Below are 16423 nucleotides of genomic sequence, written 5' to 3' on the forward strand. Positions count from 1 at the left end.
CACTTAGAATAATAGTCTCCAATCTGGCCAGGCGTGGTGGCTCACGCCTGTAATCCCAGCACTTTGGGAGGCCGAGGCGGGTGGATCACCTAAGGTAGGGAGTTCGAGACCAGCCTGGCCAACATGGAGAAACCCCATCTCTACTAAAAATACAAATCAGCCGGGCGTGGTCGCGGGCACCTGTAATCCCAGCTACTTGGGAGGCTGAGTAATGAGAATTGCTTGAACTGGGAGGCGGACGTTGCAGTGAGTCGAGATTGCGCCACTGCACTCCTGCCTGGGCGACAACAGTGAGACTCCATCTCAAAAAAAAAAAAAAATAGTGTCCAGTCTCATCCAGGTCACTGCAAATGCTGTTAATTCATTCCTTTTTATGGCTGCATAGTAATCCACTATATATACATATATATAATATATAAAATATATATAAAATATATATAATATATGTATTGTGTGTATATATATAGTGTGTGTATATATATATTCCACCATATATATACACACACACCCACACACAGACCCACACACACATACACACCACAGTATGTAGTATATATGTATAGTGTGTGTATATATATATATATTCCACCATATATATATATATATGTACACACACACACACCCATAAACACCCCCCCACACACACAGCACAGTTTCTTTATCCACTTGTTGAAGATGGGCATTTTTTTATTATTATTATTATTTTCTGCAGCTATTGTAAAAGGGGTCGAGTTCTTGATTTGATTCTCTGCTTGGTTGCTGTTGGTGTATAGAAGAGCTACTGATTTGTGTACATTGATCTTGTATCCAGAAACTTTGCTTAATTCTTTTTATCAGTTCTAGGAGTTTTCTGGAGGAGTCCTTAGGGTTTTCAAGGTAAACGATCATGTCATCCGCAAACAGTGAAAGTCTGACTTCCTCTTTACTGATTTGGATGCCCTTTATTTCTTCCTCTTGTCTGATTGGTCTGGCTAGGACTTCCAGTACTATGTTGAAGAGGAGTGGTGCAGGTGGGCATCCCTGTCTTGTTCCAGTTCTCAGATGGAATGCTTTCAACTTTTCCCCATTCAGTATTATGTTGGCTGAGGGTTTGTCTTAGATGGCTTTTATTACATTAAGGTATGTCCCTTGTATGCTGATTTTGCTGAGTTTTAATCATAAAGTGATGCTAGATTTTGTCGAATGCTTTTTCTGCATCTATTGAGATGATCATGTGATTTTTGTTTTTAATTCTGTTTATATGGTATATCACATTTATTGACTTGCATATATTAAACCATCCCTGCATCCCTGGTATGAAACCCACTTTATCATGGTAGATTATCTTTTTGATATGTTGTTGGATTCAGTTAGTATTTTGTTGAGGATTTTAGCATCTATGTTCATCAAGGATATCAGTCTGTAGTTTTCTTTTTTGGGTATGTCCTTTCCTGGTTTTGGTATTAGGGTGATACTGGCTTCATAGAATGAATTAGGGAGGGTTCCTTCTTTCTCTATCTTGTAGAATAGTATCAAAAATATGGGTACCAATTCTTCTTTGAATGTCTGGTAGAATTCGGCAGTGAATCTGTCTGGTCCTGGACATTTTTGTTGTTGGTAATTTTTAAATTACCATTTCAATCTCACTGCTTGTTATTGGTCTGTTCAGGGTATCTAACTCCTCCTGATTTAAGCTAGGAGGGTTGTATTTTTCCAGGAATTCATCTGTCTCTTCTAGGTTTTCTAGTTTATGTGTGTAAAGATGTTCATAGCAGCCTTGAATGATCTTTTGTATTTCAGTGGTGTCAGTTGTAATATTTCCCGTTTTGTTTCTTAATGAGGTTATTTGGAGTTTCTCTCTTCTTTTCTTCATTGATCTTGCCAATGGTCTATCAATTTTAGTTATCTTTTCAAAGAACCAGCTTTTTGTTTTATCTTTTGTATTTCTTTTCTTTCAATTTCATTTAGTTCTGCTCTGATCTTGGTTATTTCTTTCTTCTGCTGGGTTTGGGTTTGGTTTGTTTTTGTTTCTCTAGTTCCTTGAGGTGTGTCCTTAGAGTGTCAGTTTGTACTCTTTCAATATTTTTGATATAGACATTTAGGGCTATGAACTTCCCTCTTAGCACCACCTTTGCAGTATTTCAGAGGTTTTGATAGCTTGTGTCATTATTGTTGTCTGGTTCAAATAATTTTTTGATTTTCATCTTGGTTTCGTTTTTGACCCAATGCTCATTCAGGAGCAGGTTATTTAATTTCCATGTATTTGCATGGTTTTGAAGGTTCCTTTTGGAGTTGATTTCCAGTTTTATGCCACTGTGGTCTGAGGGATTGCTTGATATAATTTCAGTTTTCTTAAATTTATTGAGCCTTGTTTTATGCCCTATCATATGGTCTATCTTGGAGAAAGTTCCATGCGCTTTTAATAGAATGCAGTTGTTGGATGAAATGCTCCGTATATATCTGTTAAGTCCATTTCTTCCAATGTGTAGTTTAAATCCATTCTTTACTTTTTGTCTCCTTTAACTGTTGTTGCTTTAAAATTTGTTTTGTCTGATATAAGAATAGCTACCCGTACTTGTTTTTGGTGTACATTTGCATGAAATGCCTTTTTCCACCCCTTTACTTTAAGTTTATGTGAGTCCTTATGTATTGGGTGAGTTTCCTGAAGGCAGCAGATGGCTGGTGAGTTCTTATCCATTCTGTGGTTCTATATCTTTTGAGTGGAGCATTTAGGCCATTTACATTCAATGTTAGTATTGAAATGTGAGGTACCCTTGCATTCATCCAGCCCTTTGTTGCCTGTGTACTTCATTTTTTAAATATGTTTTTGCTTTTTAACTTGTATTTTTGTTTTATAGGTCCTGTGTGATTTATGCTTTAAAGAGGTTCTGTTTTGATGTGTTTCCAGGATTTGTTTCAAGATTCTGAGCTCCTTTTAGCAGTTCTTGTAGTGGTGGCTTGGTGATGGTGAATTCTCTCAGCATTTGTTTGTCTGAAAAAGACTGTATCTTTCCTTCATATATGATGCTTAGTTTTGCTGGATACAAAATTCTAGGCTGTTTGAGGAGGCTGAAGATACGGCCCCAGTCGCTTCTGGCTTGTAGGGTTTCTTCTGAGAAATCTGCTGTTAATCTGATAGGTTTTCCTTTATAGGCTACCTGGTGCTTCTGTCTCACAGCTCTTAAGATTATTTCCTTCATCTTAACTTTGGATAACCTGAGGACAATGTGCTTAGGTGAAGATCTTTTTGAGATGAATTTCCCAGGTGATCTTTATGCTTCTGTATTTGGATGTCTACGTCTCTAGCAAGGCCAGGGAAGTTTTCCTCAATTATTCCCCAAATATGTTTTCCAAGGTTTTAGATTTCTCCTCTTCCTCAGGAACACTGATTATTCTTAGGTTTGGTTGTTTAACATAATCCCAGACTTCTTGGAGGCTTTGTTCATATTTTCTTACTCTTTTTTCTTTGTCTTTGTTGGACTGGCTTAATTCGAAGACCTTGTCTTCAAGGTCTGAATTTCTTTCTTCTACTTGTTCAATTCTATTGCTGAGACTTTCCAGAGCATTTCACATTTCTAAAAGTGCATCCAAGGTTTTCTGAATTTTTGATTGTTTTTTCTTTAAGCTATCTAATTCCTTGAATATTTCTCCCTTCACTTCTTGTATCATTTTTTGTATTTCCTTGCACGGGGCTTTGCCTTTCTCTGGTCCCTCCTTGATTAGCTTAATAACTAACCTCCTGAATTCGTTGTCAGGTAAATCAGGGATTTCTTCTTGGTTTGGAGCCATTGGTGGTGAACTAATGTGATTTTTGTGGAGTGGTGAAGAGCCTTGTTTTGTCATATTACCAGGTTTGGTTTTCTGGTTCCGTCTCATTTGGGTAGGCTCTGTCAGAGGGAGGGTCTAGGGCTGAAGGCTGTTGTTCAGATTCTTTTGTCCCACGAGGTGTTCCCTTGATGTAGTACTTTCCCCCTTTTCTTATGGATGTGGCTTCCTGTCAGCTGAATCACAGTGATTGTTGTCTGTCTGCTGGATCTAGCCACCTGGTGAGTCTACCCAGATCCAGGCTGGTACTGGGGGTTGTCTGCACAGAGTCCCATGATGTGAACCTTCTATGAGTCTCTCAGCTGTGGATACAAGTGTCTGTCCTGGTGCAGGTGGTGCGAGTGTGCAATGGACTCCATAAGGGTTCTTTGCTTTGGTGGCTGAATGCTCTACTTTTGTGCTAGTTGGCTGCCTGCCAGGAAATGGCACTTTCCAGAGAGCATCAGCTCTGGTAGTATTGGGAGGAACTGGCGGTGGGCAGGGCCCTAGAGCTCCCAAGATTATATGTCCTTTGTCTTCTGCTACCAGGGTGGATAGGGGAGGACCATCAGGTAGGGGAGGGCTAGGCACGTTTGAGCTCAGACTGTCCTTGGGTGGGTCCTGCTGCAGCTGCTCTCGGGGGTGGGGGTGAGATACCTAGGTTACTGGAGTTGTGTACCTAGGAGGATTATGGCTGCCTCTGCTGAGTCATGCAGGTTGTCAGGGAAGTGGGGGAAAGCCAGTAGTCACAGGCCTCACCCAGCTCCCACGCAAACAGAAGGGCCAGTCGTACTCCCACTGTGCCCCCCAACAACAGCCCTGAGTCTGTTTCCAGGCGGAGGGTGTGATGGGTTTGAACACTTACCCCAGGGTACCTGCCTTCCAGCTGCAAAATAAAAGGGCTTGGTTCCTCCCCTGCCTATGGAGTCTGGACACTAGATTTGCACCCTCCCCTGAGTTCTGGCCAGGAGGCCTCTCACCCCATTCAAATTGTTACAAAGGCCAGCTAGAGATTTCCTTCTGCCTGTGGAGTTTTACCCCGTGCTCCTCTCCCATTGGATCCCTGTGGTGCCAGGCAGGTATGGGGTGCTTGGGGACCCAGCGAGCTCCCAGGGCCTTTCTGCTGCTTCCTTTACCCCCTGTATGTTGCTCAGCTCTCCAAATTGACTCAGCTCCAGGTAAAGTTGTAAACTTTTCACGCAAACAGACCTTCGGCTTCTCCAGTGGGGGTGTATATTTGGGAGAGGAGGGCCGCCCTTTCCTACTTCCATGGTTGGGGCACTCACAGTTTTAGGGGGGTCTCCCGGGTCCTGCAGGAGCAGTCCGCTTCCTTCAGAGGCTCTGTGGATCCTCTCGGGATTGCTGGTTTGTTCTTGCAGCTGATCTGGGTCTAAAATTAACAATGCGAGCCCCCACATACTGCTCTGTCTAGAGCTGCAATCTAGTCCTGCCTCCCATCCACCATGATGATCCTCTACTAGTTTGTATTAGTCCTTTCTCATGCTGCTAATAAAGACCTGAGACTGGATAATTTATAAAGGAAAGATGTTTAATTGACTCACAGTTCCACAGGGCTGGGGAGGCCTCAGGAAACTTAGAATCATAGCAGAAGGGGACGCAAACACGTCCTTCTTCACATGATGGCAGCAAGGAGAAGTGCTGTGCAAAGAGGGAAAAGGACCTTAACAAATCATCAGATCTCATGAGAACTCACTCAGTATCACAAGAACAGCAGCATGGGGGTAACCATCACCATGATTCAATTACCTCCCACTGGGTCCCTCCCATGACATGTGGGAATTATGGGAACTACAATTTAAGATGAGATTTGGGTGGGGACACAGCCAAACCATATCATACTTTATATAAAGGATACATTTTTGTAAGCATGCTTATACATAATTAAAAAATTCAGATACTTTACAGAAAAATCATTAAAATCGATAAATAATTATTGATAAATTTGGTACAGAAGGAAATGCTAAGATTTTTTGTCAGCATAACTTTCTGATACTTTGGCATAAAACTATTTTAGTTGCACATGTTTTTTCCAGTAGGTAATACAGAACTTAAAATTATATTTCAATGCAAATGGTGGTCACTTTGGAAAACAGTTTGTCAGTTCCTTATAAAATTCAGCATGAGTTTACAATACAACATAGTGGCCTACTCATGGTTATTTACCCAAGAGTTATTTGTCCCTGTTTCTACCCAGAGTCTTGTACTCGTATGTTTGGGGCAGTTTTACTCACAATAGCCTAAAACTGGAAATGAAATGACCAAAAGTGTCATCAACTGATAAAGGGATACTATGTGGTAACAAAAAGAATGAACTATTAATCTGTGCAACAACATGGATGCAACGCAAAATCTTTAAGGAAAGTGACAGATGCAGGGCACTAAAGACTGTATACCAAATGATTCCATGTATATGAAATGATAGAAAGGGAAAGCTAGAGTGACTAAAAGCAGATGAGTGGTTGGCAAGGGCTGGAGGAAGTAGGTGGGAATTTACTGCAGAGACTTGCAAATGTTTTTATTCCATAAAATAGATGGAAGTGTCCTATTTTGTGATTGTGGTGATGATTAGATGATTGTAGAAAAGTGTTAAAACTCATCAAGTTGTATACTTATAAGTGGTAAATTTCATTGCATGTAAATTATGCCTCAATAAAGCTGATTTTAAAGTCCCCAAAAGCACAAACTACAAAGCAAAATAAAGATGTATTTGGCTAAATTAAAATTAAAGACTTCTGAATATCAGCAAATACCATAGTATGTAAAGCAAACAAATAAAACAGAGCAACATAAAAACAGCACTACCACCAACAACGAAAATACAAACCTCAGATTGGGAGAAGATATTTTCAACATGTAAATATAAGTGGATAAAATTTTACTATCAAAAATTATAAAGATTTCCTAGCAATCAATAAGAAAGAAAGAATATCCAAGTAGGAAAATGTTCAATATGTTTGAAGAAATATTTCACGGAAAAGAGAACTCAGATGGCTTCCAAATATTTTAAAAGATGTTGAAGATTATTAGTTATAAGGAATGCACAAATTAAAGCTGCATTCAAATTCTTGTGCATGAAATTGGCAAAAGCTTTTGAGTTTGACAATGGAAAATGGTGACAAAGATATGAACCAATAAAAATTCTCATGCATTTCTGTTAGAAGCGTAAATTGATACTGCCTCTTTAAAAAGCAAGGTGATTATACCTACTAATGTTTAAGAAGGTCATAATTGGGACCCAGCAAATTCAATCCAAGAAATATACCTGGCCTAGGCCAACTCTTGCACTTGGGCTCATGAAAACATGCACATACGTATTCATGTCAATGTTATTTTTTGTAATGGCAAAAACAAGCAGAAGATCACTATACATCTATCAGAAGAGTGAAAATCCAAAACTCAGACAACAACCAATGCTGGTGGGGATGTGGAGCAACAGGAACTCTCATTCATTCTTGATGGGAATGCAAATGGAACAGCCACTTTGGAGAACAGTTTGGCAGTTATTTTCATAGCTAAACATACTTTTACTGTACAATCCAGCAATCACAGTCCTTGGTATTTACCCAAATGAGTAAAAGCTTATGTCCCCACAAACACCTGCACATAGATGTTTATAGAACCTTGTTTATAAAAATTGCCAAAATGTGAAAGCAACCAAGATGTCCATCAGTAGGTGAACAAATAAACTGGTGCATCCAGACAATGGGATATTATTCAGTGATAAAAAGAAATGAGCTATCAATCCGTGAAAAGACATGGAGGAACCTTAAATGCATGTCACTAAGTGAAAGAAGCCAATCTGAAAAAGGCTACATAATACGACATTCTGGAACAGTCAAATCTCTGGAGACAGTAAAGAGATCAGAGGTTGCCAGGGATAAGGGGCAGGGAGGGATGAATAGGTGAGCACAGGGTATATTTAGTACAGTGAAACTATTTTGTAAGATACTGCAGTGGTGGTTATGTCATTATAAATTTCTCAAAACCCATCAAATATCCAACACAAAGGGTTAACCCCAGTGTAAACTATAGTCTTTGGGGGATAGTGATACCTGAATGTAGGTTTGACATCAATTGTAACAGCGGTGTCACTTTGATGAAAGATACTGATAGTGGGGGAAGCCGTGCATGTGTAGGGGGCAGAGGTATATGGGAACTCTCTGTGCCTTCCTACTTTTGCTGTGAACATAAAATTGCTGTAAAAAAATAAATTCTATTTGAAGCACAAAACAGCCTACCAACCAACAAGAGATCCCTAAATGTTCGGCAGTAGAGAAATTGATAAAGTATAGTGGATTCAAGCAATGTTATACTGTATATACAGTGAAACTGTAAACACACATATCAACAAGAATCAATTACAGGAATGTAAAATTGTGCAAAAATGAAATTGCAATTGGATATAGGCAAATTGGAGATGAACAGTATAATACCATTTATATCATGTTACAAATTAAAATTTGCAAAATAGGTACAAAATATTAGAATATATAAATGTGTGTACAGGAAAATCCTAAGAAAGTACACATTAATGATAAACATTAAATTCATTAGTGGCTCCTACTTCAGAACAGGCAGAATGAAATCAGGCCTGGGTACCTACTTAGCTTTGACTGTGTGTGTGTTAGAATATCGGTATTTATTTTAGAATGTTTATATATTTTGTATTGATGAAGTACTCTGTCAGAAAATAGCCATGGAAAATTATGCTGGATTTGCAGCCAGAAAATTTTAAACATAAGCAGCAAACACTCAAGAAGTTAATCTGGGAAGTTTTTGATGCTGTGAATAATAATTTTTTGTCTTGTGTGATTTACATTTTCAAGGTTACACGTTAAAATTCTGCAGAAGAAATTGCTTTCCTAGATGTTGTTGTAACCCAAAGTTTGTGTTGGGGGAAGGTAGTTAAGCTGATGAATAGGAATGTTGGAGAAGAGAAGAGCTGAGAATGTTTGCACGAGATAACTGTACTGCAACTGTGGATATGACCGGGCTGCACTTTGCATTTATTGTCTGGCCAGTACTTACTAAAGTCTCTTAGTTATAAGCCTCCATTTGCATAAAACTTATGCTCAAAGTCAGGGTTCCAGAGTTCTGATGAAAAAAAAAAAGTCTTTTTTTTCTCTTCTCCTCTCAGACACCACTCAACACAATAATTCTGATACCAGATATGTGGGGGCTTATCTCCACACACCAAGCAATTCTCCAGCAATACTAAGTGTTCTGTAATTTAACTCAATTTTGACATCATCATCTACCTGGAGATAGCATCAGATTCTTCAAGTTGATGCCTTGGCTGCATAAGACTGCCCTCTACTTCAATTTAATTTTTCTTTTTTGGTTGAGGGATGGAGTCTCACTCTGTTGCCCATGATGGAGTGCAGTGACACAGACTCAGCTCACTTCAACCTCTGCCTCCCAAGTTCAAGCGATTCTCATGTCTCAGCCTCTCAAGTAGCTGGGACTACAGGCGCGTGCCACCACACCCGGCTAATTTTTGTATTTTTAGTAGAGATAGGGTTTTGCCATGTTGGCCAGGCTGGTCTCGAACTCCTGGCCTCAAGTGATCCGCCCACCTTGGCCTTCCAAAGTTCTGAGATTACAGGTGTGAGCCACCGCACCCGGCCTGCCCCTACTTCAGATTCCAGCTGCAAGTAGTAGATTGTCATCTTTACTTCTGTCTGACTGATTTAAATCAGGGGTTCCCATGATCCCCCTCCTCATGATAGAGCAGCTCACATAACTCAGGAAAACAGTTTACTAATGTTTACCTATTTATTATAAAGGATAGTACAAAGCATACAGATGAACACTCAGATGGAAGAGATGCCTAGGGCAGGAAATGTGGGAAGAGGCACAGAGCTCCCATGTCCTGTCCAGCGCATTACCCTCCAGATACCTAGTTTTAGTTCAGCAACCTAGTTTTAATTCTGACTCTTATCTTTTTGGGTTTTTAAGGAGGCTCCATTTTGTAGGCATGGTTGATTCCATCATTGGCCATTGGTAATCAAGTCAACCTTCAGCCCCTCTATCCTCCATGGAGGTCAAGGGTGGAATGTGTTGGGGGAAGGCTTAAAGTTCTGACCCCCCAGTTGCATTGTTGCTTCCCCTGGCAACCAGCCAACATCCTGAGGCTATCCAAGAGCCTACCAAGAGTCACCTCTTTCGAACAAAAAAGGATATTTTTACCTAGGAAATTTTAAGGGATTTTAGGAGCTCTGTGTCAGGAACTAGGGTCAAAGACCAAATATCAGAACAGATATTTTCCATATTCTCCTTGAACTTCTGTCGAGAAGGATATTAGGAGCTCTCTCAGGAACTGGGGAAGTGAGCAAGTGTACATTTCTTATTATATCACAGTATCACAAGAGTTAATTCAGTCTCCCATGTTCATGGAGAGACTGACTGTGCTTGGCATTCCTTTTCTAATTTTCCTAGACACAGCCACTCAGTATTTTAAAAATGCATTTTTCCAGGTAGCTACTACCAATCAGTAGTACCTGAAATAAAATTGATTTGCTATCCTGATCTATTCAGGATAGGCTAAGTTATGCTTTGATAAGAAAAAAAAAAACCCAAATCTCAATGGCTTTCAATACAGTGGCTTTAATTCATGTACATCATTGTAGTTGTTTATTTGGTGTCTATTGAGAAAATGGAAAATGACTAAAAATGCTAGTATGAATTCAGAAACACTATTACATATTTAAGTAAAATATTTTATTTGATTAATCAGATACATTTTAAAATTATACTTGCAATTGCAAATATGTGTGTGTGTATGCACACACGCATATACATTTTCAAAATATATAAATTATTCAGTATATAGATAATGCTTCTGGAGTGTATGGTGGTTTCATTGATTGTTTCTTATAACCCCCAACCCCCTGGCCCACAGGTATTGGGGATTGCAGGAAGGGTTGCTTAACTAGATCACAAAGTCTTTGTAAGGGGAGTTATTGAAATAATATTAATGGGTACAGTTTTTTTAGGGGAGGGGAATAAGGGAGTGATATAAATAAAATGATGTTTGAGAAATTGTACTTATAGGCCAGGCATGGTGGCTTACGCCTATAATCCCAGCAGTTTGGGAGACTGAGATGGAAGGATTGCTTGAGGCTAGGAGTTCAATACCAGCCTGGGTAACATGGCAAAACCCCGTCTCTCCAAAACGTAGAGAAAAATTAGCCGGGCGTGGCAGTGTGTGCCTGTAGTCCTAGTGATTCAGGAGGCTTATATGAGAGGATCACTTAAGCCTAGGAATTTGAGAATTTGAACCTGTAATGAGTTATGATGGCTCCACTGCACTTCAGCCTGGGTGAAAGAGAAAGACCCTGTCTCCAAAAAAAGTAAAATAAAAATAACAAAAGAAGAAACCGTACTTCAGTGTTTGGAAAAAAAAAAATGAGTCAGGAAAGTCAGAAGGAGGAAGGATTACTTTTTGCAGTAATTTTGATCATAATGCAGTGAAAAATCTGATCTAGATTGGTACAAAAGGGAAGGGGCCCAGAAAATTTGGAGACAAAGCTGTGGTAGTCATTGATGATATATTGCACATTGCTGGTAAAATACAGATTAAATTCCTTAAATCTGGAGTAACATAAAATATGTTACTCAAGACAACTTAAAAAGACATTGAAATGTTGGCTATCTGCATTTCTCTTAATCACCGAAAATACAACAATTCAGAATGTATAATTAACTCTATGTAGGATTTATAGGTAATATGAAGTTCTGGAGTATTTTAAACGTTGTAATAAGATCTTTTAATATTTTTACCGCTAGAATCTCTATGAACATTGTCTAAAATGAATAGATGTAATTGGGATCTTTTAATATATGTGATAGCTTTCTATAAAAAGGAAAAAATATTGCCATAAAATTCATACAGGTTTAGTGTATATTTAAAATATATTTGTTATATTCACACAGTAAACACGCTATTTAGAGTGTTGATGACGTGCTAAGCAATGTCCAAAGTCATGGGGACAGAGCAGAGATCGAGACAGAGTGCACCATCTCATGGATATTTCATTCTAGTAGATAAAGACAGGAAATAAACCATTTAGCTAATAATTAGTGATGCATGTCATGGAGATAATTAAAATAAGTAAGGTGATGGGTCTGTTGGATTGGATTGGTTTATTGTAGAAGGCCTCTTTGCTGGATAGCCAGAAGGAACCAGTCATTGGATGCTTAGAGAGAGAAGCATTGAATCTATGTAGAAGAGATAGTGCAAAGACCCTAAGGTGAGAATGAGTGTGGACTGTTCAAAGACAGAAAGAGGCCAGTGTGATTGAAGTCCAGCAGGTGAAGGGGGTAAGTGGTATGAGATATGATGTGGAAGAGATAGTTGGGGGCTGATTTTCAGGGACTTTGAAAGCTAGAACAAGAAGTTTGGATTTTATTTTAAATTCAATGGAAAGCTGTTGGATGTGGTGTATTATAGGAATTGAATGATGTTTCTAAATAATTTTACTCCATGAAGAGGGGATTGGAGAAGACAAGAGAATGAAGTAACTCAATAGGGATGGTAGTAAAGAAATACTTTGATTCAGAAGTTTCGTCAGATTGGATTTAAGAGGTAAGAGAGAAAGAGGAATTAAAGAGTTTTGGATTTGAGGACATTGTTGAGATGAGGAAGGCAGAAGTCATAGAGAAAGGCAGACTTATTAAGAGTCCTGTTTTGATTGTGTTTGTTAGGTTGGTGGTATCTGAGTGAAGATGTCAAGTAAGCAGCTTGATGTTAGCTTGGAGTCTAAGGAGACGTCAGGGCTGGTGACATAGATGTGAGAGTCATTGGGTTATATTATGGTATTTAAAACCACAGGTTGGTGTGAGAATCACCTGCAGGAATATGTAGTCACAGAAGACAAAGGGGCTCAGGTCAAGCACTTCTGGCATTTAGAGGCAGATCAGAGGAGAATGACCTGCAAAGCAGACACTTTTTTGAGTCTTCTAAAAAGATAAAAATCTTTCTTGGAATCCTTATTGTCTAAATAAACTGAAACAATGGGCTATTCATTTAATAGTGCATTAGTACATATTCGTTTAATATGGGCACTAAAGTGTAAGTTCTATATACAGTTGTATTTTAGTGGTAACTCTATTTTGTTGCTGCAAAAATTGAAATGCAGATGATGAACACAAAAAATAAAATCACAATTTTGGAAATGACGTAACAAATGAATGTATCTGGAAAAAATCAGGGATGTAAAAGGAACAAAACAGTTGCCAAAAAAGCAAACGATAAAAGTACATATATAATTATTGTCATATTTCTTATGGGGAAGCAGAAGGAAAAAATAAAACTAATAGAAAACTCCATCACAGAATGCGAGGGCAAAGATTGATTTATGAAGAAAAGGAGGGAAAGAACAAGACCAAGCCTTGAGCTGATCCATGAATTTATATATTTATAAGGAAAGGTGATCTTTATGCTCCACTATAACAAACTGCAGGAACAGATAAGCTGTCCACTCTTCAGTGTGTTTAACACGAGTAATAACTTCTATGAAAGTTAAAATCATCGTCTGCCATTTTTGTAATACCCTACCCACAGGAAAGAAAAGTAAAGGTGGGTATTAGACTTAAAGACTTCAGTACACCTTTAGAACTCAGGAACAATAGCTATTTCAAACAGTTTAAAAACATTTTTTGTGAATCCACATCAATTGGGAGTATAATGTGATGGTTTGATGCAGAATAAGCTTGAACAATATTTAGGCACTGAAGTCTTCTCAGTTTCTAAAAAGTACTCTGCAACTCACATTGAGAGTTTCACTGTAAAAGAGTATTCCTAATATATTGGGAGCGTTCACATATAAGTTCAGTGATTGACTTCTTTGAAAAGGCCATGGTTTGTGTTGACATAATTTTTTTTTGAGACATGGGGTCTTGCTCTTTTCCCCAGGCAAGAATGCAGTAGTGCAATTATAGCTCACTGCAGCCTCAACTTCCCAAGCACAGGTGATTCTCCCACCTGAGCCTCCCAAGTAGCTGGGACTACAAGCACGTGCTACCATATCTGGCTAATTTTTTGTATTTTTTTTTTTTTTGTAGAGGTGTGGTTTTGCCATGTTGCCTAGGCTGGTCCTGAACACCTGAGCTCAAGCAATCAGGCCACCTCCCCTCCCAAAGTGCTGGGATTACAGGTGTGAGCTACAGTGCCCAGCCATAATGTTTAAAAATATTACAATGATGCTACTGAGGAATGGGAATCATTTGTTCCTTCAGAAACAAGTTACATCATTCTCTTAACCAACCACGTTATTCTTTGTCATCGTCACTCATTCATCACTCAACCATGGGTGCACATTCTCATTCATCAGCTCTCCCATCACCTGGATGCAGGCATTGTGCTTGGTGCTGGCATAGGAAGATTAAGATGCAGTTCCTGAACTCAGGAGGGCGGAGTTTCATGCATGGACTCTAGTAATCCAAGGATGGCCTGCAAGACTCCATTCTTTGATGTTATATCCAAAATTATTTATCAGCATATAGATTTTTAAAATCAGATTATCAATGAGATGTGTGTCCAGGAAGATGAAAAGACAAAGAATCATTGGTGTAGGCTTTACAGATGGAATGTGTGGCTGAAATACACAGTTTTTATTGTTTTCAAATTATTCTAAATTCTTTAATCCTCTTTACTTAGGGTGTCAAAATCCTTAACCTTGGCTCTATTAGCTTCATTTGGATTTCTGTGAGCTTCCATCAGCACCAAGAGACCAGTACCACTGTAGCAACATAACAGAGTTATGTTACTTTTTTATATAAAATAATTTTTAATTTTTTCTATATGACAGAAAAATATATTTTTTTAAAGATTTATTAGCTGGATGCAGTGGCTCATGCCTATAATCCCAGCACTTTGGGGGGCTGATGCTGGAGGGTCATTTGAAGCTGGGAGTTTGAGACCAATCTGGGCAAGATGGCAAGACCCCGTTTCTACAAAAAATTAGAAAATTAGCCGAGTATGGTGGTGCACACCTGTAGTTCCACATACTTGGGAGTCTGAAGTGGGAAGATCCCTTGAGCCCAGGAATTTGAAGTGAGCTATGATCATGCTACTGTGCTCCAGCCTGGGCGACAAAGTGAGACTCCCCTCTCTAAAAAATAAACATTTATTATTATTTTGCTTTTGTATCATATGCATGCCTCTGTTAAATTATTCAACACATATCTAAATGTGCTCAATGTTATTTTTCCTGATCAAATTATGAACAGTGCAATTCCTAGAGTCTTTTTTTTTTTCATTTCATTTCATAGTTCTACATAGGTTTTGGCCTAAATGAGAAACTGAGAGTAAATCTCCGCTTAAATCCTTAAAATGCTATTGCCTTTTCTTTTCCCTCTTCTTTATTCTCATGGTAGAATTAAGAGTTATCATTGACCAGAGTGTTTTCACTCTACTGTGGCTCCCAGACAGTGACTTTCTGCTAGAGAGAAAGAGCTGGAGATGAAACTGACCCTATTTGAATACGGAAGAATAAAATTATAAGGTTGAGTTATTCAGTGGGTTAATAAGAGAAGGAATTATACAAAATAAAATTATAAGGTGGGGCCTTTGAACAGGAAACAACTATCAAAGCTCTGCAATAGAGAAAATTCTCAATACTGTAAAGATAATTTTGATGTGCTGGACTTCTGGGCCAGAAGAGGTTTCCTGAGACACCCAAGATGCTTTTCCCACATCCATTAGTTCAAAGTTACAAAATAGTAGGGGCTGGATCTAAGTATATTATCCCTGAGTGGTGGGTTATACTGCCGGCTAATAAAAAGTTTTATACTTTGACATGTTCTGCTAAGTTTTATTGTGGGTTGTAAATGTTTAATATCCTCCTAGGGGCTTTTAGGAGAATATGTTTTCACAGCACATGTGGTGCTGTTATACTCCGAACCAATCTAATGGGCTTTAATTATGCCAAGGTCTGTGGATCCCGGAGATGCTGACAAATTCATAATGTGTTTTAAATTGCTAGGATGGAAAGTACAAATCAAAAGTTTAATCTGGAGTAGTGTTTAGAAAATAATTTCCTTTGCTAAGATGCCACCTGTCATTCTCCTTTCTCAAGTTGAAGAATGTGGTTGAGTCATTCATTCATGAATCTCATGTGACATTCCTATCCTTACCATGGAGCAGATGAAATGCTGAAGTTGACTTTAGGAAACCCAGATTTGAGGCCCGAGTTTTCACTCACTTTTTGTTTGAATCGGTACAAGTCACCTGATATGAAAGACTTCATTTTCCATGGGTCTAATATAGGGGAGTGCTGTAACATGGGAAGACTGACTTAGTATTATTGAGAGAATCAAATAAGATGATACACGGACCACCAGGAAACATCTGAGAGGGCTCTTCCTTATTGTTTTGGTTGAGGGATGTTTAAATCGTAACTAGCAGGCCTGCTAGAAGTTCTCTGCTTAGTTGGGAATCTAGTTGATTCTGTTAATATTTTTCCCTTTTGATCAACATTGCAATCTTCTAAGCTACTGCATTCCCTTATTCTATTAACATGGCTATCTTGGGACTATACCGTACTTCCTTTTGCAACCCAGTTGACATGCAGGTATACGTAAATTTGGTATTTGCCTGCTTTCTTAGTTCTGAAAA

At 38.7% G+C, this 16423-nt stretch overlaps 1 protein-coding gene across 18 annotated transcripts in view, besides 3 other annotated features; it reads left to right on the top strand.

Annotated features, from left to right (window-relative positions):
* The window catches only part of RYR2 (ryanodine receptor 2), a 791805-nt gene that overhangs the window by 241892 nt on the left and 533490 nt on the right, over window positions 1-16423 (top strand). The gene's annotated exons all lie outside the window — the stretch shown is intronic.
* Window positions 3643-4451: an enhancer, noted in NCBI's record as "OCT4-NANOG-H3K27ac-H3K4me1 hESC enhancer chr1:237451018-237451826 (GRCh37/hg19 assembly coordinates)". NCBI's record gives its function as "activates a minimal SCP1, AML or CMV promoter by ChIP-STARR-seq in naive and primed H9 embryonic stem cells {active_cell/tissue: H9 hESC(naive and primed)}" and the evidence as "EXISTENCE:reporter gene assay evidence [ECO:0000049][PMID:30033119]".
* Window positions 3643-5012: a biological region, named in NCBI's record as "MED14-independent group 3 enhancer GRCh37_chr1:237451188-237452387".
* Window positions 3813-5012: an enhancer, noted in NCBI's record as "MED14-independent group 3 enhancer chr1:237451188-237452387 (GRCh37/hg19 assembly coordinates)". NCBI's record gives its function as "activates an origin of replication core promoter dependent on BRD2, BRD4, P300/CBP and CDK7 cofactors, and independent of MED14, by STARR-seq in HCT116 cells {active_cell/tissue: HCT116}" and the evidence as "EXISTENCE:reporter gene assay evidence [ECO:0000049][PMID:35650434]".

Source organism: Homo sapiens, chromosome 1 (genome assembly GCF_000001405.40).
Source record: "Homo sapiens chromosome 1, GRCh38.p14 Primary Assembly".
Lineage (NCBI taxonomy): Eukaryota > Metazoa > Chordata > Mammalia > Primates > Hominidae > Homo > Homo sapiens.